The sequence below is a fragment of the Homo sapiens genome, chromosome 5 (genome assembly GCF_000001405.40).
Source record: "Homo sapiens chromosome 5, GRCh38.p14 Primary Assembly".
Taxonomy (NCBI): Eukaryota; Metazoa; Chordata; class Mammalia; order Primates; family Hominidae; genus Homo; species Homo sapiens.
In genome coordinates this window covers 125,815,914-125,841,255 of record NC_000005.10, presented here as the reverse complement: position 1 = coordinate 125,841,255, position 25,342 = coordinate 125,815,914, and the positions used below count along the sequence as shown (strand labels likewise).

General features: G+C 38.0%; 1 long non-coding RNA gene across 1 annotated transcript in view; it reads left to right on the top strand.

Moving 5' to 3' along the window:
• LOC124901056 (uncharacterized) overlaps positions 1-25,342 on the top strand; it is an 891,204-nt gene that overhangs the window by 529,043 nt on the left and 336,819 nt on the right. The window contains exon 3 of the long non-coding RNA XR_007058919.1: positions 13,250-13,428. This is a non-coding gene — a long non-coding RNA (uncharacterized LOC124901056). The remainder of the gene's footprint in view (positions 1-13,249; positions 13,429-25,342) is intronic.

Below are 25,342 nucleotides of genomic sequence, written 5' to 3'. Positions count from 1 at the left end.
GCCGCCCCTTCCCCCAGGTGCTCTGTCCCAGGGAGATGGGAGTTTTATCTATTATAAGCCCCTGACTGGGGCTGGAATGTGGGGTTTTATTGAGTGGTGGGGGTGGCTCTCAGCAGGATGGATGGGGAGCTGGAAGACAGATTGAGTGGGAAGATGATCTTCCCCTGGAGTTTGGCTGTCCAGTGGCTGAACTCCCCTCTGACCGTCCCCTGCCAAACTCCTCTTGGCATTCAGATGTTCCTTCCCTTCTCTCTTTCTCTGCCATGCCATTCTGCTGGTGTCTGCTTGTCTTCTTGTGTTTTCTCCTCCTCTCCTCATCTGTTTGTCTGCCTCTGCACCCTGGGGTTTGGGAGTTATATGGGTATAGGATAGGGAGGTGTGAGGGGCCAAAAGGCAATGTTTTTGGTGCAAAAACAGAAATGCCTGTTCCCACTTAGGGCTGTGGGTCTCCAGGCTTGGGGGTGGGGCCTTTGCCAGAGAACCGCCCTCCTCTACCCAACATTTCCCTGTCTGTATCAAAAATGTTGCATTTTGTTAAGAAAACCAAGGCTTAGAAAGAAAAGTGACTTGTCCAAAGTCAACTGAGATCTTCTGCCCATTACACAGACTTGAGCCAAAGACAATGTCCAGCAGATTCTGGCTTGTATTGTAATAGGACAAATTTTTATCCATAATCAAGGAGGCATGGTTACAGGAAAATCACAGAGATGTCAGTAGTAAGATTTGACCAAGAGGAGTCAGAAGCTGGCCCAAGGGAAATGAAAACTCTGAAATCTAGAGGAAAGCAAGGCAAGAAGTGGAAGGAGCAGACAGGCATCAAGCCCACCAGTATGCATGGGCTAGTTCAAAGAAACCTCAGACAGTGATGTGCCGTCTGTATTGGGATGTGTCCACACATCCACCCAGCCACCTATGGCCACCTATGTGAGGAAAGTCCTATTTGTCATTAACCTTTTTCCTACAATGCCCTACCCTTTTTGTTTTTTTTTTTTTTTTTGAAAATCTTGTCTTCTAACACGACTGAGTTCACACCTCTTCTCTGATGATTCCCTTTCCCATTCTTCCTTAGCATTTTGAGCTCACTTCTGTAGCACCTAAAACATTGCATAATGGTCTTTTGCAGCCTTTTCCAATGGTTAAACTGTATACTTATAATTAGTAGGGACTGTATTTTATTCATATTTCTATCCTTAGCACTTATTTCTTAGAAAGTGTTCAGTAAGTGTATGTGTGGAGTGAGTAAATAAGTGAATCCTGGAATCCATGAAGGGCCCCAAAGTGACTGTTATTTTTTATGTAATTCAAATACACTCTAGAAACAAAATTCAGTTACATGAACACTGTTTGTTTAGTGATGATATGAAATTAAAATAGAGATGACCTCAACCTGGAAATAATAAAGTAGAGAAGGATAAACCCAGCAAGCTAACAAATATTGTGGTCACTGGTCTGTGGTTAATTTTTCTTAACAGCTCTGGAAACAATTTTGGATTGGATTTTTATATAATTTCTTCATTTCAGCCTTCTAAGATTAAGCAACTAATTTTTTGATGCAGTGATTCATTTATTTATTCATATAGCTCTTTTCTCCTGTAATCAGGCATTCTGTTAAATGATAGGATTTAAAAAAAGAACAAAACACAGCACAGCCCTTTTGAAGAGCACAATTTAAGTTTTAGATTTTTAGGGGGCAATTGACACGATGTCAGTCACCATATGATATATACAAATTGAGACAGGAATAGGATAGTAAGTAATTACATATAATTTCACTCTCTGTTTTTTCAATAATGGCTATTGAACAGTCACACCTAGTTACATGTAAAAACACTGCCTCTGAGAGCATAGAGGAGACACATTATAACTATTATAATCTGGCTCCTTTCATCCAATACAATTCAACCAAACTGACTTGGGGTGTGATGGTGGACAAGTGTTCTGAGCCTTAGTTTTCTTGTTTATGAAATAAACATAATACTGTCTACCTCAAGAAACTTTGGGAAGATCTATTTTCAAAACATTATATGTAAAGCTGCTGGGGCATGTCTAACAGACTTCAAACCAGGTGTTGTTTATCATGCTTTATACCATCTTTGATATCAAAATTCTTAAAAATTATTGACCAGGGGTGCTTGTAAGAAAAAAGTATTTCATTTTTATAATGCCTAAATCCCTCAAATTTCTACTGTACTAGAAATGTGGAAATACCTTGAGTGACTAGGAAGATTAGGATCTTTATTAAAATTAAATGCAGTTATATAATGCTATTCCTACCAGGATTCCTCTTTATTACTATACGCTATGGTTCTGGCTATATTGAAAAAAACATTTTGGCTTTTCTGTCATCAGAATACATTGCTCAAGAAGATGTTGTCACTAGCAATGCTCTCCATATTTCAGAGTTTAGGTCTCTATATGAATGTGTCATATTTTACATCTTCTTTCAGTTAAGGCACATATACCTTACTGTTTGACTGAATTTATGTATTTAAAAAGTGGTTCCATTTCATTGATGAATTAAAGGAAAACAGCAATGTAGTACATAGGAAAAGTCAGTTTTCTAGGGGTCAAAGAAAAAGAAAAATGCCACAGTAATGATAGTCCAGTGGAAATATATTTTTAACCCTCCATGTCATACATTTTAGTGCTGGTACAATTTAAGCAAGCTGAATTGTACATCCTTATATTAATACATTCAGTGAGCCTACTTTAATGAAAAGCTTTTGTCATTGGCTTTTAACCTAGTAAAATCCCAATAATATTAGCTTCTCAAAGCCCATGTTTACAATGTTTGAACAATAATTATATACCTATTCCCATTTATTTATTTTTATGAATAGAATAATATAATTTATAATTTGCCTTTAAGAGATATCATGTTCTGTTTATAAGAGCAAAAAATAAAACATTACATTTCAATTAAATAGAAACATTAAGCTTCAAGGAAAGATTAAATTTATTTGGAAGGCTTGGAAACCTTCCAAATTTATTACTTTTGTTAAAATGTTGCAGTTGTACTTTTATGACTGCTAAACATATTTTTTTTTGATGTTCACTGGGCTTAGGGGCGCATGTCATGAATTGTATCATTTTTCAATGTCTGTTGCATTACAAAAAGCTCTAGTTGATCCTTGCATGCAGTGTGGTTTGTCTCTTTTGAGTTCCTTGGCAACAATAACCTCTCATCATGATTACGGAGTCTCTTGCAGAAGGATGGGCCTAATCCCAGTGCTCCATCAACTCAGTAATCTATTCCAATCAGTATTTGATGGATTTGACAGGCCATCTCTAGCCAAGTGAGACAGATTCAGGCAGGTCAAGCATCTTAGTGCTCTGCTGCGAAATATTGGGGAAAACCTTTGTGCTACATCAAAAATTATGGACACTAAAATTGCTTCTGGTCTCTTCCGTGAGGATAGAGAATGAATATAAAAAATTTCCAGATGCATAGTTCAAAATACACCTACTATTTTAGTTATTGAACAAGTTCATTCAATATTAAAAATTAAGGAAAAACAACCTGGTATTATATTTAGCCAACAGCAATAACTCAAGATTAAATAAGCCAGTTGTTTCAATGCATGGAGATTTCTTAATATGTTTAGTTTTTCTTATATGCACATAAACAAATATCTTATTTCTGAAAACCATGAATCAAGTCTCACAATTCAATTTTAAAAGGCATTAATAAATAAACATTTTTAAAGATATAATATAACCTAAGATGGCAAGCATCATCTCCCTTTATGTTTTTAAATATAATAACAATAAAGGGAGTCATCTGAAAAGGAATTCACTGTTTACCTCAAATCTAGCTCTTATACTTAGTGCTCTCTGTTTCTGTAGATTGGGGAACACGGAAGGAAGCTTTCTATGTAATGCGGTGAACCATTGATTTTAACTAGGAAAGATTAGTCTCTCTTAGGTATTTTTTCCTTTCTACATTACTTCTTACAAGACAAGAATTTAGAAAACTAATTTCTCAATATATGTTTATTATTATAGCTGATAATCAGCTATAATTTATATAAAGTGATATATAATAGTTAAACATTCCTTATCTTATTTCAGAAGCATTTTTTTTTATATTATACACCCTGGAAAACATTTCAGAATGTTTGATTCAACCACCATTTGAAAGACTTCAATGTGTTCCAAGTAGTAGAGCGAAAACAACTTATTAAATGTATTCCAACTACTTTTAATGTCTAATAAAAAGCAGGTTTAGGGAAATGTATGAAGAGTTATCAATTTAAAGTGCTTACTTTTCTCACTCTACTATTTTCTGACTTTTTCCCCCCAAGAACTCAGCTGGCTCCATGTGATTTAACAGTAAGATTTAAATAAGAAAGAAATCCTAATCTTTCCATCCTTCTTTGCCTTAGGGCTAAACTGTGCACAGTAGCTGTTAATCTAAAAGTTTTATCTAAGATTTCAAAAAGCAGCTTCACATCTGATGTGAAAATAGCATAACCTCAAAGCACTAAAAGTGATTATCATTTTCTCTATGAGAATGTAATTTATAGAAGCAGAATTCTTCTACAAATACATCTTGAATGTTCATGGCCACATAAATGTGTGTGCATCTTAATATGAGAGTGTTCCTATTACACTCTCCAGCACTGAGGTGGTGTACTTGATTGAAGTAAATGGGGGCATGGGAGGATGTTTGGTCAAAAATACACCAGAAACATACTGTTTTGTAGCAGTACTGAAATGGATCTTCTGTTGTCATATTTTCATAACCGTTTTATATGCTAAAGTTTTTTGCAACAAATTGGAGTTCTGCCCAAGGCTTATTCTCAACTGGGAGTGTTCGGAGATGATTCTTTGGATTGAATCAGGTTTGGCAATTTAACCACTGCAGTGTGCAACCAAATTCCCTGCTGCTCTTAATAAAGGAAATAACTGATTTTAAATGAAAGGACCCTTTACATAATATAAGCAAAACCTAGGTAAGACATAGTAATAGGATTTGTTTGGTAAACACATATAAGTTTTGGCTATGATTGAGGTAGTAATAAATAATATGTTTAGAAGCTATATCGTAAGCTGAATCTTAGGTGAGCTGGAAAAATAGAGGAAAATGCAACAGCCAGATGTGGTAAAAAGATTATGATACATCCTTGTTCTCTTTTCCCAGAAAAGAAGAGAGCATGGCTGTAAAAAAAAAAATAAAAAAATAAAAAAATAAATAAACAAAGTGTGTGTGGGTGCGTTTTAATTAATTGACAAAGAACAAAAGTAAATTCTTCCTGGACATTCACCCATCATTCTTGTGTTCATTAATTTTTATTGCTTCACAGAGGCAAATTGTAGAATTGTTATTGGAAGCATTTGTATTGGGCATGCTAATGCTAGAGGTAGCCCTTCACTTAAAATTAACCACCTAACAGATTTCCTTCCGAAGACCAAAGAGACGCAGCAAGAGGAAAACAGTCAAAGCAAAGAAGCTGGCTCGGGTCTGAGCTGTGTAATTCCGCCCTTGACCACCCGTGTCATTGCAGCCCACAGATCCTTGAATGGTGCTTGCCAGAAATCTGCATTGAGGTGCTGAGCTGACTCCCACGGCTTTTTAAGAGTCTCTGAAGGGGAGCAAAATCGAGATTAATATGCGTTGAAAAATAAAATGCCCTTACCACATTTTTGTCTGACCTTTGCACAGTTAAATGAATATATCTCCTCACTGGGAGTTTTTGGCTGCATGTCAGGTTTGCAGAAGGAGGAAAAAAAAAAGTCCTTGCAGCCTAAGGAGGAAGGGACGCTCCCAAGTGAACCTTGATAGATATTATTAGTATAGAGGTGATTCCAGGCAGCCTCTGTCTCTTTCCTTCTCTCTGCACTTTGTGTTCTACTCTGGGGCAGAATAACTGATGGAAAATTACGTCTATAGGAGAGTTGAATATTGCCTTAAAATGCCAATAAGACAAGCTTGGGAGCAGACAGTAGAGGCTTTATTTTATTTCATTTTATTTTGCTCAGGAATGCTTTACCTACCAGAGCTCTGTGGCAGAGTTGTGTGAGCAGGGGGAAATCAGACTTGCAAAAAGTTAACCTTGAACAAAGAAAACACCCAAAGCTTCATGTTGCTTGCTATACTGAGAGCTTTTTCCTGGGACGAAACCGAATTAATTGCCATGGAGTATGTGGAGAACACAAATGTAAAGGGCTTTCCTCACTTCCTCCCCTCCACAAAGGTTCTTCTTCGCTTATTTATCTCTTCCATTTTTTTTTTTTTCTTTTTTGGTCAAAGTGCCCGAGGGGAGCAACATCTGCAAGTAGCAAGAGACTCGCATTTCCTTTGTGTGTGAACGCTGCACAGACCTTAAAGGCTAAACTGGATCTACCGCAGTGTCCTGGCTGCTCCCTTTTCTTCTGTCCAATCTTCTACCCATGGAACTTGGGAAACTCTATTGTCACTTTCTTCCGAGGGTGGGTTTAGAAAAGAATAGCAATGCGTCAAGGTGACTGTGTGTGGAAGCTGAGAGAAGAGACGGTTGAGAATTAAAACAATAAAAGTCCTAGAAACAAATTTTGTCGATCTGAGAGAATGTAACCCTGAGAGGCCCTGGATAGGCTGGGCTGGGGCTGCACTGAGAAATCCCACCATGTGGCTGGAGTAGGAGTTTAGTCTCTGTCCAGCCTGCTGGCCTAACTGTGGATTTGTGTAGGTTGTTGTCTGAGCATAGCAAGCAAAAGCTGGGAGGTGCCCCAGAGTTGGCGTCCTGAAAAGAGATGGAAAAAAAGAAAGAAGAAGAAAGAGCAAAAATCTTGATCAGTGTTAGGAACAAAAGCAATCTCATTTTGAACAGAAATGCTTTCCATTTGTTTGGACTCTTAGAAGAAAGCCAAATAAGAAAAATGAAGTTCAGTTAATATTTCTCTCTTTCTTCCTTCCCTTCTTTTCTCCTGCCCTTCCCTCTCTCCCTTTCTTCCTATCTTTTATTTTTAAAGAAATAGGTATTCTCTTCTTCCTAGAGAAGAGAGTTGAGTATATTCGATTACAGAAACCTGTTTCACTGTTCATTTCTAATGGTAACTTATTCTTTCAAAAATGGAAGTTTTTGGTTATCCCGATTAGTTGGTTATTTGATGTTTGTATGTCTGTGTCTTTGTCTCTTGCTGTGGTTTGAATGTTTCTCCTTCAAAATTCAGGTGTTAATACTTAATTGCCAATGTGATGGCATTAAGGGGTGAAGTCTTTAAGAGGTAATTAAGTCATGAGAGGTCCTCCCCTCATCAATGGGATTATGTGCCCTTATAAAAAGGCTTGACAGAAGAAAATTGTCCCTCTTGCCCTTCCACCTTCTATTATGTGAGGACACAGTGTTCTTCCCCTCCAGAGGATGCAGCCCTCACCAGACAACTGAACCTGCTGGCACCTTGATCTTGAACTTGGCAGCCTCCAGAACAGTGAGAAAATAAGTTGCTGTTCTTTACAAATTACCCAGTCTGTAGTATTTTATTATAGCAACCAAAACAGACTAAGACATCTGTGCAGTCAGGGTCATCACAAGATGTTTCTGTTGAAAATTTCTTTTGTTGTAAAATATCCCTGGGACCATTGGGCGAGAACTGAAAATAAAGGTAATATGATGAGATCAGCACTGCTGTGGCACTGACATATAAACAGTCAAATTAGCTCTCTTGTCAGGAAAAAATGAAAGCCTCAGCCACAAAACATTATTCCAGCAGCAGCCTGAAGTGTCCTTTGAGCTATTAAGGTCATTAATAATGAAATGTCCAAGCAGTGCCTTTTGGGTTGTTAAATAATGTGAGGATTACTTGATTTGATAAAACCTATTTCCTGTGGATGGTTGTTTACTGAATTAAACGTGGTTTGTTTGGTAGTATTCCTTTTTATAATTAAAATAATTCACATTGCCAACACATATTTAAGGGATTCAATTTGACATTCTTTGAGCTAATTAACAGAGAGGAATTGCTTCATAGACTGAAAATAGAGATTCTGTTTTTTGTTTCTAAACTTTTGTGTCTTTTTAAAAGGAACAGTCTGCTGGTTTGGGTCAGCATGTTCTCCTTATTTTTTTCCCCCAAGAGGAAACATTAATCAGATTCTGATTACTGTCTTCAGTTTGTCAAGAGGTGAATGGAAGTTTTAAGAAGAGTCTAGGAGAATTTGTAGACTCTAGCTTGGGGAATTGAGTAAAAACATTGAATCTGGAAAGTTATCCACCAGGGTAATGGGGTGGAGAGGGCATTTAACTACATTCTGCTAAAAATAACGCTTTTCAAGGAGCTCAAAGAAACATGGTAGTGCTTTAGCCAAACTATCTGCATTTTTCTTTCCCTGAAAATTTGGGCTTTTAGCTACAAAGAGACTCAGTTTTACATAAAGTTCAGAGAAAAAGGTTTGTTGTAATTTAATAAAATAAAATACAATTGTAAAAGTGATCAGTTATTAAGAAGGATACAATTCTTTGCAAATTTTCATTGAGGTATCTATTTCTCGTTGGTGATGTATAGTTTGAGTCAGTCCCAAATCCAGATGTTATTTTTTCTTATTTCTTTTAAGGTAGGAAATTATAATTCATTTCATATACTATTGAGAATGTTAGCAAGTGTATCCTGACTTTGTAAGGCAGTTCTGCATATTTTTAGATCAAACATTAATCTGAAATTATGGAATGATTTCTCACAAAAGATACTAAGTCAACATTCATAGCACATTAAAAAAATAAAAATGGAAGCTTGAATGTTAGTGACTTCTGAAATGGCAGCAAATGGATCTTCAGTTTACTCCTTGGTTATAGACAACTTAGGGCCATACTTCTTCATATGCTGAATGTAGTTTGTGTATATTGACTCAAACTATCATTGGTTTCTTTCACTAATAAGTAGGTAATATTACTAATATTGGCAGTCAAAACCTAGGTGATTGAAGCGTTTACATCATAGCTCAATAATCTTAGGAAACCTCATTATATTACATATCAAATTAAAAGTTTTGTTATTTTCAACTTGAATTTATAACTTAAAGGTATTTAAGATATTAATACATTGCCAAGGTACGTCACTGGATTAAGCCAACTGAAATTGTGGAAATGATACTTACCAGAATGACCATGATCATGAAAGAATGTTTTCATTATTTACTACTCATTTCAAACAATTTTTGTGAGTACCATTCTGATTGATTGGCTGCTTCCATACTTCAGGATGGATGTACAGTCTTTGTTGTTGGTTTTTGTTTTGCATAATCCCTAAAAAGCATATATTAAATGGTTTTGGTTTTATCCTCTTCTTAATCTCACCAATGTGTTCAGTACTAAAATGTACATTAGAAGGCATACATTGTTGAGTAAAACAAATAAAACAAGAGTAAGGACTTGTAATAGTCTGTTCTTGCGTTGCTATAAAGAAATACCTGACACTGGGTAATTTATAAAGAAAAGAATTTTAATTGGCTTGTAGTTCCACAGTCTGTACAGGAAACACGGCTGGGGAGGCCTCAGGAAACTTACAATCTTGGCATAAAGCAAAGGGGAAGCAGGCACATCTTACATGGCCGGAGCAGTAGGCAGAGAGAGGGGCGAGGTGCCACACATTTTTAAACAACCAGATCTCATGATAACCCATTCACTATCACCAAAACAGGCACCAAAGGGATGGTGCTAACCCTCTGTCAGTATAGCAAGGAAAAGGAGAAAAGGAGAAGTAGGATGCACATGTTTTAAAAGTTTGAGGAAGAAAAGTTTCATCATGATGCAATCACCTCCCACCATGCCCTACCTTCAACATGGGAGCTTATAATTCCACATGAGATTTGGTGGGAACACAGATCCAAACCATATCAGAATCGATGATCAGACACAATTCTTTATTATCCATTGAGTAACCCCTGACTTTGTTATCACACAACTGTTTCATCAGCACTGATTTCAATGCACCTTTCATACTCTAACTTGTAATACAGTTCTTAGCTAAAAACGGTCTTCTTCCATAGCATGTGTTTTTGGAGGTAACTAACAGGAAGTTTTCCAAGTACTTCTTCCCCATATCCATGACTTTTATACCAGGAGCTATTGTATAATATGAACATTAATGATTCTATCAAAATGTAAAATGAGATATCTAATAACATGATTTCCAACATTAAAAAACAGTGATATTATGTGACATCCCCATTTAACATAAAAGTCTTGCCAGTATTCCAATCTGCTTTCTCCCAGAGGAGGATATTTTTCATGTAATTAGTGGATGGCTTTGCTTTTTCAAATTCTTATGAGCAGGACAACTTTGGATGATGCTCCCATAGCTTTGATTTCTTTTCTTGACAGCGAAAAAAGTCATAAATGTCACATTAGAAAGCTATATTTAGAATTTTTTATGTAAAAGCTCAGTTGTTTACCAGTAAGATTACTGTGTTTTACTGGAAAAATCTGGAGGAAATCCTGCATGATTTCATTTCTTCAAATGGATCTTAAATACAAGCTAGATGCTAAGCACAAGTTGCTCATGAGAAGTGTGTGATAATGGATATGATCCCTATTCTTGGAGAAGATGAATATGAACCAAAAGTCACACACACACAGAGTATTGAGGAAGAAAAGTTGCATCCTGCTGACTTCTGGCTTCTCTGTGAAGTGGGTTCCAGTCCATCTTCTGAGGGGATTGGGGAAACAGAAGTTTGTTAAAGTGAGAAACATTTGAAGTAGTTTTGTTAAGAATGAGAAATAATGACATAAGACCCAACAAACAGGGAGATTTATCTATTTTGTTCATTTATGCATTCAAAAAACACGTGGAAAATATTTACTGTTTATATGAAATGAATGATTGAATGAATGAATGAATGATTACCATACAGTGTTGGAATTGACTGTTAGTTATAGATTTTAAAATTATGGTGGTACAATATACTTGATTGTGTGATTTATTTCAGTAGGTCTTAGTCACATATCAGAAGGTAGGTCTGGAAGAAGCAGAGAGCTGGGATTTTGTCAGACAGAAAAGATGAAAATAGAAAGGGACAAGGGTGTGTTAGATATTATTTAAGTGCTGGACTGTGAAGTCTAACACGGCAAAGGAAGAATGCAGATGAGTTGCTCGTGGACAGGACCAGAGTTTCTGGAGAACTGGCATTTGGTGGGCATGTATTGAAAGGAGTAGAGATTGAGATCAAAGGGTGAGACTCTAGACTTTAAAATTCAGAGCCCCTCCTGATGATATGGCTTGTAGTTGAGCTTGACCTGAAATGATATTTTTAAATTGTATCTTCTGTCACTTTCCTCCAAATCCTTCTCCACATTACAAGGGGCTTTTCCAATCATGATTCTTTCTATGCTAGGCCACCAAATATATATGAGCCTCTTTGTGCCTCAGTTTCTCCTTCTGAAAAAGGGGAAAGCAATATTCATTTCAAAGAGTTGTAAAGTTTAAATGGGATAATAAATAAAAAATTATAAATTTGCCTACAACTGAGGTATAAGATATACCAAATTATTTAATTTTTAAAAATTCAATGGAATCTGCCTCTAAGTTCCCATTTAATATGATGCCAAGTTACTAAATATGAACCACTAATTGAGACTCATTTCTCTGTTTGGCAATGTAAACACTGTCAGATACTTAGAAATATCCTTTGGCCTTTAGTCCATCCAGGTTGCAAATGAGATGGTCACTGTATGAGGCGACATGATCCATTCAAAGGCAGGTGGCTCCACTGCCTCTCTGCGAGGTAGGGTGCTGTCATACTTTGCTGCAGAGCTCAAGTCTGTGGTGCACGAAGTTTCACTTCCTCAGCAAACACATTGGCCCACTCATCAAAAGTCCTGTTGCCTCCTGGGGTACTTCTAACCCAGGCTCTGACATTAGCACACACATCACCACTTATCTTTTCTCAAGACGGCAGAGACTGCTATCCTTGGGTGAATCCCTCACTTTCAACACAGTAACACCCCTCCCACCCCACACTCCATCCCCTCCCTCTCAGGAACATGTGGCTACATTCCCCTCCCACACAAAAATCCAGATAAACATATATTAAAGATACTTAACTTTTGTATTGGTCCATGCAAATATAATACCTTTAACAAACTCTGAGACCAGAAGCCTAGAATTTCCAGGAGGAGAGGTGGGCAAAGTGACCTTTCCAGCCTCTGAGTGTCTCTTCTGGCAGGGAATAGGTATAGAAATTAATAACTTGGATATTGTGTCCTGAAGGTAAATTGCATAATACAGAGTGAGCAGGTAGATCAGGGATTGTTTCAGAAATTACCCTTTTGTCATTGTCAGCCTAAACTCCCTCACACTGAAGCCTGGCCCAGCCCTCTAAAAATGACATGATAATCATTGACCCCTTTGCCAGGGCTCTCAGAAGAGGTGAGAGGGAGCAAATTCTGCGTCTCTTAACTGCCACTGGCCTCTCTAAATGAACCCAAACATGTCCTTGAGACCCCAACAAGTTGAAAGGGTAACTTAGGCTGCAGCTTGCACAGCTAATGACATTTCCAGATGAGAGGACTCAAAAGGCGGAACCCTTCAACTAGCCAGGGCCTTGCACTAAACTTGAAGATTTGGATTCAATGCTCCATGTTGATTCCCTCCATGGGGCTGCCTCCAGGAATCCAAGCCCTTTAGATGGGAGCTGGCTCTTGGAATTTTGGGCATCAACAGCTGCCCTTTGGTGACACTGTGCCCACTCCATACCAAGGTGCCAGCTCAGCCATGCACTTTGTTTACCCCAACATTGAGTGCAGGGGTGTAGGACTTGGTGATGGATAATCACCAAGGATTACCAGGGAGCCACATCCCTGTTGCATTCTGTTATTTATGGCTCCTCCTCAAATACAACTCTAGAAAATGTGAATAATGCCTCCTGGAGTTGATCCTTCTGCCCCTACACTTGGGCCTTGAGTGTGGCAAAAAAGCACTAGAAAATTTTCTCTTGGAATAGGTCCTCATCTGCCCATCATCATTTAGCTAATAGAATTTCCTGCTTTTGAGGGCCTTCTTTATTTCCTATGTGGGAAAGAGTTAGGGAAGGGGAAGGGGAACCAGGGCTAGAAGCCAAGCTAGAGTAAGAAATCCTTCCGGTAGTGTGCAGACATTTTGGGCAGATCTTTTTGTAGCCACCCTCTCATGTGCACACATCGTGTTGGACTACCTCACCACACACCTGTGTGTCTTTGAAGATAAGCACAGATCTGGGAGTGAGGTATAAGTTGTTAGGTTCCTCCTACCTGACTGCCTTTAAGCTGGGACATTGTTTTCCTTCTGCTTTCAGGCTTGCACCAAAACATCAGATCTTCCTGGGTCTTGAGATAGCTAGTTTTCAGACTGCAACTACACCATCATCTCTCCTGGTTCTCAGACCTTCAGACTTAGACTGAAACTTACATAATCAGCTCTCCTGGTCTCCAGCTTGCTGACAGCAGACTTTAGGACTTGTTAGACTCCACAGTGGTAAGAACCAGTTTCTTATTATAAGCCTTTTCATTTGTCTATGTATCTATGAATCTATCTGTATATCTATTTATCTATCTATCTATCTATCTATCTATCCTATATATCTATCTATCTACCTACCTACCTACCTATCTCTGTATCTATATCGATACATCCTTTTGGTTCTCTTTCTCTGTAAAACCCTGACTCTGATACAACCTCTTCTCCCTAGACTGCTTGAGGGTTTACCTCAAGAATCATCACTGCCTCATTTATTGTATCAGCTCTTGAAATATGAATAAATGAGCCAGGGAAAGTGGGATGGGGAAGAGGCCTGGCTCACCTCAAACAATGTTTTGGATTCAAGGACCTCACACAGTGGACACCATATCCGGTGTATCCAAAAGTACACTCTGTGAGCTTCTAGAAACTGTTGAGGACACAAATTAAGAAAGGAAAGCTCCAGAGAAGCATTCTTGTGATATTATTGATCAGATGAAGATATTTACGGTGGCTGGGTGGATGTGGGCCTTCCCAGATGGCACAATGTAGAGTGGGCAGCAGTCCATGAAGGGTGCATGGCCACTGGGACCCTCATCTAGTTGGTCTGCCCCATGTTCTTCCCCAAGTAACTGTTTTGGGTTGGGTGTTTTCAGTAACCCTCTTGTTTAGGTTATTCCTTGGGAACCTTGAGAAATCATCTTGTGAATGTCTCACAGAATTTACTTATTATCTCCTCCTGGAAGTCAGCCCTGAGACCCTTCATTAGGTTCCTCTTGAAACTGTGCAGGAGGCCCCCGTCCGGGTCTTTTTCTGTCTTGAACCTTGCTGAGTCCCTCATATGAAACTATGGTTGTGAGGAGACAGTCCAGTGAAACACTAGAAACCATGATTGAGGGGAGAGAGTCAGGTGTCAACTTTGATGAGAGAGGTTGTAATCCTAAGAGAGTGTGGAGTCAGGTGAGGAGGTAAGGCCCAAAGACAAAGCAGGGTGTGACTGGGGAATAGGGTCCAGTATCTGAGTGTGCTCTGGGGGTGGAAAAGAAAAGATAGTGGTGCGGTAAAAGATGCTATGTGGACACTATGGGATCCAGTTTTGTACCAGACTCTGGGGGAAGAAAGATACCTAGTGGTGAGGGTAAAACAAAGGGAAATGAGAAAATGGGAGGGTCCAGTGGGAGGGTGGAGGCCAGAGGAAGGAAGGCCGAGTGAGTGATGCTCAGCAATCCCAAAGGTGATGGAGAAAGCACAGCATCTTTTCCTGCCTCCTCATAGAAGAACAGAATGTCTGCTTCTGTGGTTGCTCTATTATACCCTACAGAGCACAAATTTTGCTGTATATGCTCCAGAAAACTACCAACAAAACAACAAAGAAAAGAAAGGGCATAGATAGTAAAAATGTTGCACCAGTAGGGGTCAGGAGGCACAAAGTGGATCCAGAAGGAGAATGGGGACAGGAGGGCCTGGTGGGCCTGGCAAGGGTCACATACCTGAATATCCTGGAATTTATGAAACTCTTGTGATCCCTCACCCCACATCTGGTGTTCACATCCCCTTCCCTCTGGGTTTTCCTTCTCATGTCAAACCCAGACTGCATTGGGACACTGGAATTCCATGGGACAAGCTAGAAAGTGGGTTATCTGGGATAACAGAAGAGATTAATTACCTTTTGCAAAGAGAAAGGTGGTCTTATGCTACCTTAGCCCTTTGCAAACAAGCTATTTTAAATAGAAAAAGTAGCTTGTATTGCATCAGGTGAAGGTAGGAGCAAAGGTACTTTGTAGGAGGTTTGTAATATGCTTCATTGGGAATAGATTTAAGTTTAGGCCCTGAGAGCTCCAGGAATTTAAGGTCCAACGGTCAATGACATTAATAGTTAGGCTCACATAGGTACAGTGCTATGTCATTTAAAAAGGGCCTTGATATACATTATCCCATGTGATCAACACAACTCAATGAGATTTGTGGGCAGGATGCCCTCTCAAAGGAGGAGTCTAAAACTTAGGGAAATTAACACTTTGTTCAAAGGGTTGACCTGGAAATTTTCTTTCCAAACTTAGCCAGTATCCTTTCCACTATATCTCACATCAACATTTAGTAGGAAAGACCCACTGCCCAGCTCTATTGTTATTTAATTCCCATGGAGGGGCAGAGCATTAATTGGAGAAGTTTCCTAAATTCTGATATTCTTCCTTTGGGCCTTTCCTCTCAGGGCTCTGTTTTCCTCTAGAAACTGACATCCTCAGCAATTGTGGACCTGGGATCTCATGAAATAAGAGAGATTAAGGTTAATGCTGGGAGGCTGGCATTGAATAGCAGAACCTTATCTTTTAAAGCTACTACTTTGTTCTTCTTGCTCTGTCTGCACTGATGCTGAAAGCAAAAAAAAAAATTAGAGAGTGGAACCCATTTCTTAGTCTCCTCTTTCTAAGCAAGCAGCAGACATTCATTATAAATGAATAATGTGACTTCCTATGTTGATTTAAAGATCTCTATTCTTTCCTTTTGAAAGTGGATATAAATAATTTCTACTAATCCCTTTCTGAAAAACTCAAGTAATGATAGTTTTTCTGCATATGGTCTTAAATTGATATTTCAGTCAGTAGTCCTCTGCTGAATGACAAGGACATAGGATCTCGAGTCTTCAGGGTTATATATGCTCCTTTCCATAGGATCCTGTTCCCTGAGGACAGACTAAGTCATATCTGATAGGAGGTTTTTACAAGTTCAGCATTTCAGCCCTAAAGCAAGGGACAGGCTTGACCCAAAGACACATCAGATGGAAAGGTGGCTATGAGTAAGTGTTGCAGGCCTCTTCTCTTGGAGTAAGCCAGCCTGTAGCCCCAGCATCACAATGTTTGGGATTTTTATCCTGGAGCTCTCTACCACACCCAGGTTGGTGGGGGCATGTCTGTGAGCTTTGATAGAAGCCCTAGTTTCCTCTCTGCCCTCTGTCCCTCATCAACCTGTTGCCCTAGACGGCTGATGTTCTTATCTTTCCTGAGAGCTCCCATTTCTTACCTCTCTCTCTTCTAATAGAAAGATGAAGAAAAGGAACTGTGAATGTAGACATGTTTAGAAACATAGGAAAAGGAAAAGAATCAATAAGGGTCAATCTCATTTGTCAGCTGGACCCAGGGTTTCCTTGCCTAATTGAGGTCTCTGACTTTTTCAAATATTAATGAATATGGATTCCACTGAATGTAATAACATGACACAAAGGAGATACTGACCTCATACAAAAAAAAATATGGAACTCACTAAAGCACAAAGAAACCAGTCAATGGTCTTCATCACTTTAAGCACACTGCTGCCTCTGGCAGCTGAGTGCAGAGAACGTGAGCTCCAGTCTGGAGTTCCATACCAGCAACACAGAGCTAAAGAAGTCACACAGAATCACGGGGGAAGAAACAGCGAGTGGACCATGCACCAACAGCCCCTCCACACCCACAGAGCTAAGCAGACCCCACTGCTGCACCTGGTCTCTAGACCCCTCTACTCTTATCCAGGCCTTCCTATTTTCCACCTGTAGCTTTTCTACACATCCGTATTCAAATCCTAGCTTGGTTGTGTACCCTGAATTGGTCACTTCATCTCTGAGAGCTTTGCTTTCTTCCTTTATATAGTGGGATTGATAGTATTATGCTTGCACCAAGTTGAAGGGTAGCTTAAATAAGGCAATATATAATGTCCTTTATAGATGAATCCTAAAGGGCTGTAAACATATTTTGGGGGATTCTCTTTTCTATATTCTCTTTTTTGCTAAACTCTTTTATCCTCGATCCTGATTTAGAATAAATATTGATGAATCTTCCTTCCTTGCAAGAGAGAAATGTAAGAAACATTGTATTTTCTTTTAATGTTTTCTTAGTGCTTGGCGCTTTCAATGATCTTGAATGACTAGCCACAAAGGGTTACTTTAACATGGTCGACACAGAGAAAAGAGTCCTGGAGATACAGCCCAAGCTGGCTGTACTTCTAACTCTGCCACTCACTACTGACTGGCTGTGTGACCTTGAGCTCTGATCACCTCTGACTCTGACCTGCAGAGTGTGGCTCACATCACTTCCCAGGAGATGCTGGAGGAAAGAGAACTCTGTAAACTGCTGCCAAAGGATGAGTGGGCCTTATGACTAAGCAATAGAGTAATGGAAAACCAATGAAATGAGAGACTCACAACGTGGTTTGTTAACATTCATGTGGGCAGGGTATACTGCCGCTGCCCTTTGCTGAGATGATCCTCTTTTTCTAGCCTCTGCAAAGTTGTTGTACCTGTAGACCTTGCATCTCTGAGGCTGCAGTGAGAAGAGTGTGATGAATGAATTATCTGCCCATTTGTCTATACTTCCTCCAATAAGCATTCAGATACATATGAGGATTTTCGGTGGCATGATCCGACTTTTGCTTCAGATAACATTTGGTGATGGAAGGAGTTGAAGGATGATGGCAGGGACATTTCTAGCTCAGAAACTTGTAGGATGATGATATCTTTGACCTACTTAGGGAGTCCAAGGAGAGAAGCATGATTAGACTTTTGTCAACTCTGAAATATGTTGCAATTGGGAAAATTACTTAACCTGTCTATGTCCGAATGTTCCTTCTCATCAGTAAAACTTCCTATCCATCGTTGCAGTCAAAGTGTCTATGTGCCAGTGCACAGTAGTCTCTTCTAGGGTCTAGGATAGATCCGTGAGCTCTAGAAACAGAAGTCCAGAAAATAGAAATAAATGTAGCAATTACCATCAACTTTATTCAATTTTCAACAATCCCATCCTATGGAGGATCAGGCCAGGAACACTGGTGTCACCAATGTTGCAGAGTCCCTCCAAAGATCCAAGGTGGTATTTTCAGTTTTCATTTATTTTTAAATTTATCTGATGATAAAATGTATGACACCAACACCCTATGACATAGATTTCAAATTATTTTTGTTCACACTTTCTAATAAGGACAATGAGCTTTAGAAATGTTAAGTGATTTATGTAAGTTACCTGGTAGTGAAGTGAGGATTCAATCTCGGAACAGTCTGGCTACAAGTTCAGTCTCCTCTAATCATATAGTGCTACACATAATGCTACCGTTTATGAAAATGAATTCATTTTGTTAAAAATAAACTGGAGTAGCAGGCATTGTTTCATTTTCCTTTGTAGTTACTCCCACAAGGCAATTTTCTTGGGTTCTTCTGACTGAGAGACTGACTGCAGTAACATGGCCCAGTTTTTCCCAGAGTAGTTGAGAAGGGCTCCCAGTTCTCTGTTTTAGTTAAAATGAAACAATAGTATTGCTGTTCCTTCTTACCCCCAACTTGATTGCAGGAAGGTTGCGTACAAAATTGTTGAGCACCTAGGTCTGTTCAAAACCCAGTTTGATTACTTACTAACTTGGATAAGTCTCATGCCTTTAGACTGAGTACAACCGTACTTATCTCAGACAGTAGTTATAAGCATCAATTACTAAAAAGTATAAATTTCACCCCACTTCTGCTACATCTATGCTTTTCACCAAAGCTGAAAAGAGCTAAGCTGACATGGAATTATAATTCATTCTGTGAATATGTTTATTTGTCTTTATTTTACCAAGCATTCCATGAAAAAGCTGCAAAAATAAGTATTCTATGACATTTAGATTTATGCCACAATAAGATGTGTACTGACTCGTATTTTGGAGTCATACTGCACGTTGGTGAGAGGCAGGTCCTAGAATAGTCTCTCCTGTGTGCCTGTTTAATTCTGGTCTTCAACTGCAGCTGCTGTGGAAGGTCTGTCTAGGGAAAAAGTTAAAGAGCTTTTGTAACCTGTACTCTCTTTGAAAGATTCATGAAATCAAAATTGCCAAGTGAAGTCATGAAATAATGTCTGATTTGAGTAAAATCTATTAATTTAGTTTTCTTTTAGATTTCGCTTTTTTGTGGGAGAGACATTTAATCTTCATCACATATCCATGTGTCCCCCCACCGCCCCTGCTGCAACCCCCTTGCACATGGGAAGGGCCAAGTGACTGGTGTGGCTAATGGATTGGGAGTGGAAGGAACATGTATTACCTCTGGGCAGAAGCAGTGCAAAGTCCCCAGAGAGCCCTCTAGCTCACTGCTGCTGCTATAGAGGTCTAGAAATCTCATGTTCTAGGTACTGCTGCTTTATGATGCAGACAGACTCACATCACTGTTTGGCAGGCACCTCTCTGGAGAGCCACCTAACCCGTGGAGACTGCAGAAACAAGAAATAAGACCCTGAACTTTCAGTGTTTGGATATTGCTGCTGGAGCTTCTAGCTTAATCTTTCCTATATAATTTTATTTTTTCCCTGTTACAGAAGTTATATGTATTCACTGAAGAAAAATCCAGGTGTATATGAAATAACCATTCAGAATCCTACCTCTAAGAAACTGTCATTTTAACAGTTTCAGTGAATGTTTGGTCATAAACATACATTTAATATAAAATATGCATATTATACAGATGTAATATAAACATAAAATATGACACAAAATATACATATTATATAATAAGAATTATAAAATTAACATATACTGAATACCCACTTTATTCATGCATTGTACTAACAGCCATATATGAATTATTCCTTTGAAATCTTACAAAGGCCCTGCAAATTTGAAAGTTTCTTAATGCCATTTTATAGATAAGGAAACTGAATTTCAGAAAGGTTAAAATAGCATCCTAAAGGTTACACAGCTAGTCAACGGTGCAGCCCAAACTGGAATTCATTCATCTGGCTTCAAACTAGAGTGGGTCTTAGCTACAAAACTTATATTGCCTCTAAACTGGGATTATATTATACATATAATTGCAATCTTCTTCTTGCTCTTATTTTCCCCCTTAACTAAATATATCTATTTTTCAATGGCATAATTTATTCTCTTACAATATTATTTTTAATGTCTGTAATGCTGTACTATTAAACAGTAAATTGGCTATTTTTCTATCTTTGGACTCAGATCGTTTCTATTTCTTTTTTTGCCATCATTAACAACAACGCTAAAGATATATTTGAACCTAAGTCTTTACATACATCTATAATTGTTTTCTTAGGATAAATTCTGGTAAGTTGAATATCTGTATTAAAAGGAGTATATGTTTTTATCAGTTTCTTTAAATTATTGTCAAATTACCGTGTATTGAGTTTCTTATCGATTTAAGTTCTATCAGTCCAACACAGCAAAACCTCACCGACACTTTTATCTTTTATTTAAATTTTTATTTCTTTGTTTATTTTTTGAAGTTGGACATTTTTCTAATGCTAATTGGCCAGTTATATTTCTCTATTAATTGCATATATATATATATATATATATATATATATATATATATTCTTTACCCACTTTTTAGTTTAGGGATTAAGATATATTTTAAAAATAAGTATTTGTGTGTCATGCTGCTATAGCAAGCTCCTCCAGGAGAATAGATGTTGAAGCTACAATGTGTATCAAATTTCTTATGGCTATATAAACCACTCAGCTTTTTAATGTGTCAAATTATCATCTTTTAATTTTATGGAAATCACAAAAGGACTAAGTTAAGTTTGATTAGGCTTATGTTACAGAATCTTATTTCACTATACGAGTGGCAAAAAATGCTTTAATTCACTGTTTTTTAAGAGTATAAAATACAGGTAATACCTTCATAAAGTACATAATGGGGCTAAATGATAGAGATTATACCTCTAAAAGCAGTTTACAGCTTGGACAATATTAGAAAATTTAAGTTACGCTTCTCATGTAGCATATTCCTGTTAATTATAAAAAGTCCAAATGATTTAGTGAAATTGGGCAATTTAGGGTATATACAAGATACAAACAATGTCTAAATTTTGAAGGAAACCTTGGATAGACAAGGAATATACACAGTATTTGTGTAACATTTTACCTTTCTCCCAATTGTATAGTCATTTTTATTGCAGTCCTCCATGTTATATATAAGTGTATGTATCTACACACACACATACACACACACACACACACACGCACACGTAAAAGAACAGCATAAATTTATTCAACAGCATCACCTCTCTGTTTGGCATAATGAAAAAGACCTTTTTGTTTAAAGGCCAGAGCTTTAAAATCAGACACATCCTTTTAAAGTCACTGTAAATATGTAGAATTGTATAGGCAGCTAGGCTTATAATTTTGGAAATAATAACAATTTGCACTGATTAGCTGTAAATCTCAGTTATTAATGTGGCCTCACATAAAGAACAAATTGTGTACTCTTTTTTGTATTGGCACTTGGCTTCTAGAACATATTCATCTAAGCAAAATGCATGCTATTTCAGCATTTCAAGGGAAAAGTTGTTATTAATTATAATCTCAGTTGAAGGCATGATCTGAAACTCAATTTTATGCAGAAAAAGATAGGATGGTTAAAATTATTCAGCTCAACACATCATTGGTGTATCTCTACTTGGCTAAAATATATTGGGAAATCCTCCTGGTATATCAGGTCTGATCAATTTAAAGGCCCTGTAATTAAGTTTGACTCCAAAGAAATAAGAAAGATGGGTGACATTTTGAGATTGTAATTTAGACAAGGCTTTGAAATCACTTGGTTTAAAAATGTTATTCTTTTATCAATGCCTTAAAGCAATGTCCTTTTTTTTGAACATAAAAACACAAAAATAGTCCTATTGATAATTAGAAAGAGATTTCTATGATATCCCATTCTTTTAAATGTTTACATTAAATTCATAACTGTTAATTTTGTGGTATATTTTCACTTAGATTGCTCTTGCTTGTGAGTATAGGGAATATTTTTAAATGGTCTGGCTACCATTACAGCACTCTTCTTTCTAAAGCATTACTGTTGATTCAGATATAACCTCTGGAAGGGAAAGAAATTGATGTTATAAAATATGAATGTTAGGCCTCAGTTATATTGCATGTTTTAAAATAAACCAGTGCTATCATTTCCCAATACATCAAACCAATTTAACATGTGATAGTGTATTTAAATTAGTAACTTCTTGAGGGAGATGTGATGAACTTTGAGATGAATGAAATCTCCAGGTAGAACTTGTTTTGCTACTGAGGTACTAATGCTTTGAAGAGCTAAGAACCTATAATTAGTGAACTTTGGGTTCACTGAAAAATATAAGTGAAAATCAGAACTCAGAGAAAGAAGAGTGAGAGAGTTCTATAATGGCTATGTTGAGGTAATAACCTGTTTAGAAAACCTGAAAAGTAAAGTGTGAAATGGGGAAATAGGAAAAGCAAAGATGGAGAGAAAAGAACCTAGCATACACACATCAAGAAGATGATTCAGGGAAGGAACCGAGGGAAGATGATGGTAGAGATCACAAAACGTGAACGGCACTGGCTATTTAGCTATTGCTTTAATGAATATTTATAGAGTGCCAGATGTGTATCAGGTGAGGGGATTTGTGTAGCAGATAAAGTGTGCCTCATGTTCTCGTCTTAGAGAATCTCATTGTCCAGTAAGACAAATCAATGAACAGTTGAAGTACAGAATGGTAAGAGTTATGATAGCAATGCATACAGACAAAGAGAAGCACAGGAAAAGGACACCTATCTCAGGCAGGAGATGAAGTCAGTAGGTGAAAGCTGAGATAAATGTTGAAGAACCAGAACAATGTGATTGAAGAAGAATGTGAACGATATTTTAGGCAAATTGGAAAAGTATGGGCAGAGCCAAGATGTGAATGTGTACAGAATCTTCAGGGGTACACAAATATTGCATCATGCTGATAGCACAAAATATACACAGACAGTCCCCATCTTACAAAGGTTAGACATGATCTTTTAATTTTTACAATTGTGCAAAAGCAATGCACATTCAGTAGAAACCATATTTTGAATTTTGATCTTTTCCTGGGCTAGTGATATGCAGTACTGTAGTCTTTCTGGATGCTGGGGAGTGACAGCGAGCCACAGGTCCCAGACAGGGACATGATCTTGAAGGTAACAACCAGGAGATATACAATCCTTTTATAAAATAAGCATTGTGTGAGATGATTTTGCCCAACTGTGAACTATTCTAAATGTTCTGAGCAGTTTTAAGGTAGGCTGGGCTAAGCTACAAAGTTCCAAAGGTTAGGTACGTTAAATGCATTTTTGAATTATAATATTTTCAACTTAACAAGGGTTTATCAGGACATAACCCCACCTGTGTTAGTCCATTTGCTTTGCTATAACAAAATAATTTGAGGCTGGATGATGTATAAAGAAAAGAGGTTTATCTTGGCTCACTGTTATGCAGGCTATACAAGAAGCATAGTGCTGGCATCTGTTTCTGGTGTGGGCCTCAGGAAGCTTACAATCATGGCCGAAGGTGAGAGAAACCTGTGTGTCACATGATGAGAGAGGGAGCAATAGAGAGAAGAGAGGAAGTGTTGGGCTCTTTTAAACAACCAGATCTCATGTGAACTTATAGAGTGAGAATTCATTACCATAAGGACAGCACCAATCCATTCATGAGGGATCTGCCCCTATTATCCAATACCTCTCACTAGGCCCCACCTCCAACATTGGGAATCACATTTCAACATGAGATTTGGAGGGGACACACATCCAAACCATATCAACATCTTAGGTCAAGGAGCATTTGTATAGGAACGTGGGGGGGGGAGAAAAATAACAGGAAAGATGTATTCTATGGTGGTACTTATCCTGAAGGTAATACGAAAACTTGGAATGATTTAAGAGAATGATGCAATCAATTTATACTTCATTAAAATGATTTTTTGTGGCAGTATGGCTAATGGATTTGGGATAGAGGGAAAGAAGACTAGGAGAAGGGAAAATTCATAAGAAATCCAGGTAAAAAAGAAGAGGGTCTAATGTAAGGCAAAGGCAGCGATAGTACAGAAGGAAAATAAATTGTAAGATATTATGAAGGTAGAATTGACATAATGTTTAAGTGGAATATCGGAAAGTGGGAAATATAAAATGACCTTTAGACATCTTGGAAAACTGGAAATATGTTATGAACTGAATGTTTGTGTTTCTCCAAAATTTATATGTTAAAATCCTAACCTGCAATGTAAGGTATTAGGAAGCAGGGCTTCTGGGAGGTAATTAGGTCATGATTATGGAGCCCTCATGAATGGGATTAGTGCCATTAGTAAAACAAACCCGAAACACCTACACCCCCCATTTCCACCTATGAGGGCAAAGCCACTGGAAGAGGGTACTCACTAGAACTTAATCATGCCGGCACTCTGAGTTCACACTTCCAACCTCCAGAAGAGTGAGAAATAAATGTTTGTTGTTGATTAGCCACCTAGATTGGCATTCTGGTATAGCAGCCCAGGGTGGCTAAGACAGAATATGGTGGTATAAGTTACCAGAGTAGAAAGTAAAGTTAGTGAGTTGTAGAGGGGTCATGTTATATTGTTCTGGACAAGTTATGTTTGAAATGTTTTCTAAGTAGTGTTTACTAGGTAGCGGTTGTATGGGCTGACACCTTGAGTACGATGCTGAGCTGGAGATATAGATTGAAAATTATCGTATTGTGTGTCAGACCAACCAATATGCTTTTCTTGATTGAATAAAAGAGAAGAAAACTAAAGATAAAATAATTACAATGCAGAATCAGGAAAAGGAAAAATGATCTCATGGACTTTAATAACAAGTATCTGGAGAGATAGGAGGAGAACCAGAGAGAGTAATGCTATTAGAAACTCATAGTAGGAGAACTTCCAGGTGTGGATGGTCAACTTTTTGAATGTTGAAAATGACTGAAAAGTAATTCATTGGGCTTTGCAAATCAGAGATCACTGATGACTATAGGAAGAATATATTTATTGAAGAGGTAGAGTCAACAGCAGGATTTGAACACTTAATGAACAAAAGAGAGAAATTAGGAATAGCAGCACAGGGTGGGGGAAGCCTGGAGGATGGTAGGAGGTTGAAGTAGCTCCCTTTTCAGCTGATTGATAATATGCAGTTTCAAACTGTAGCA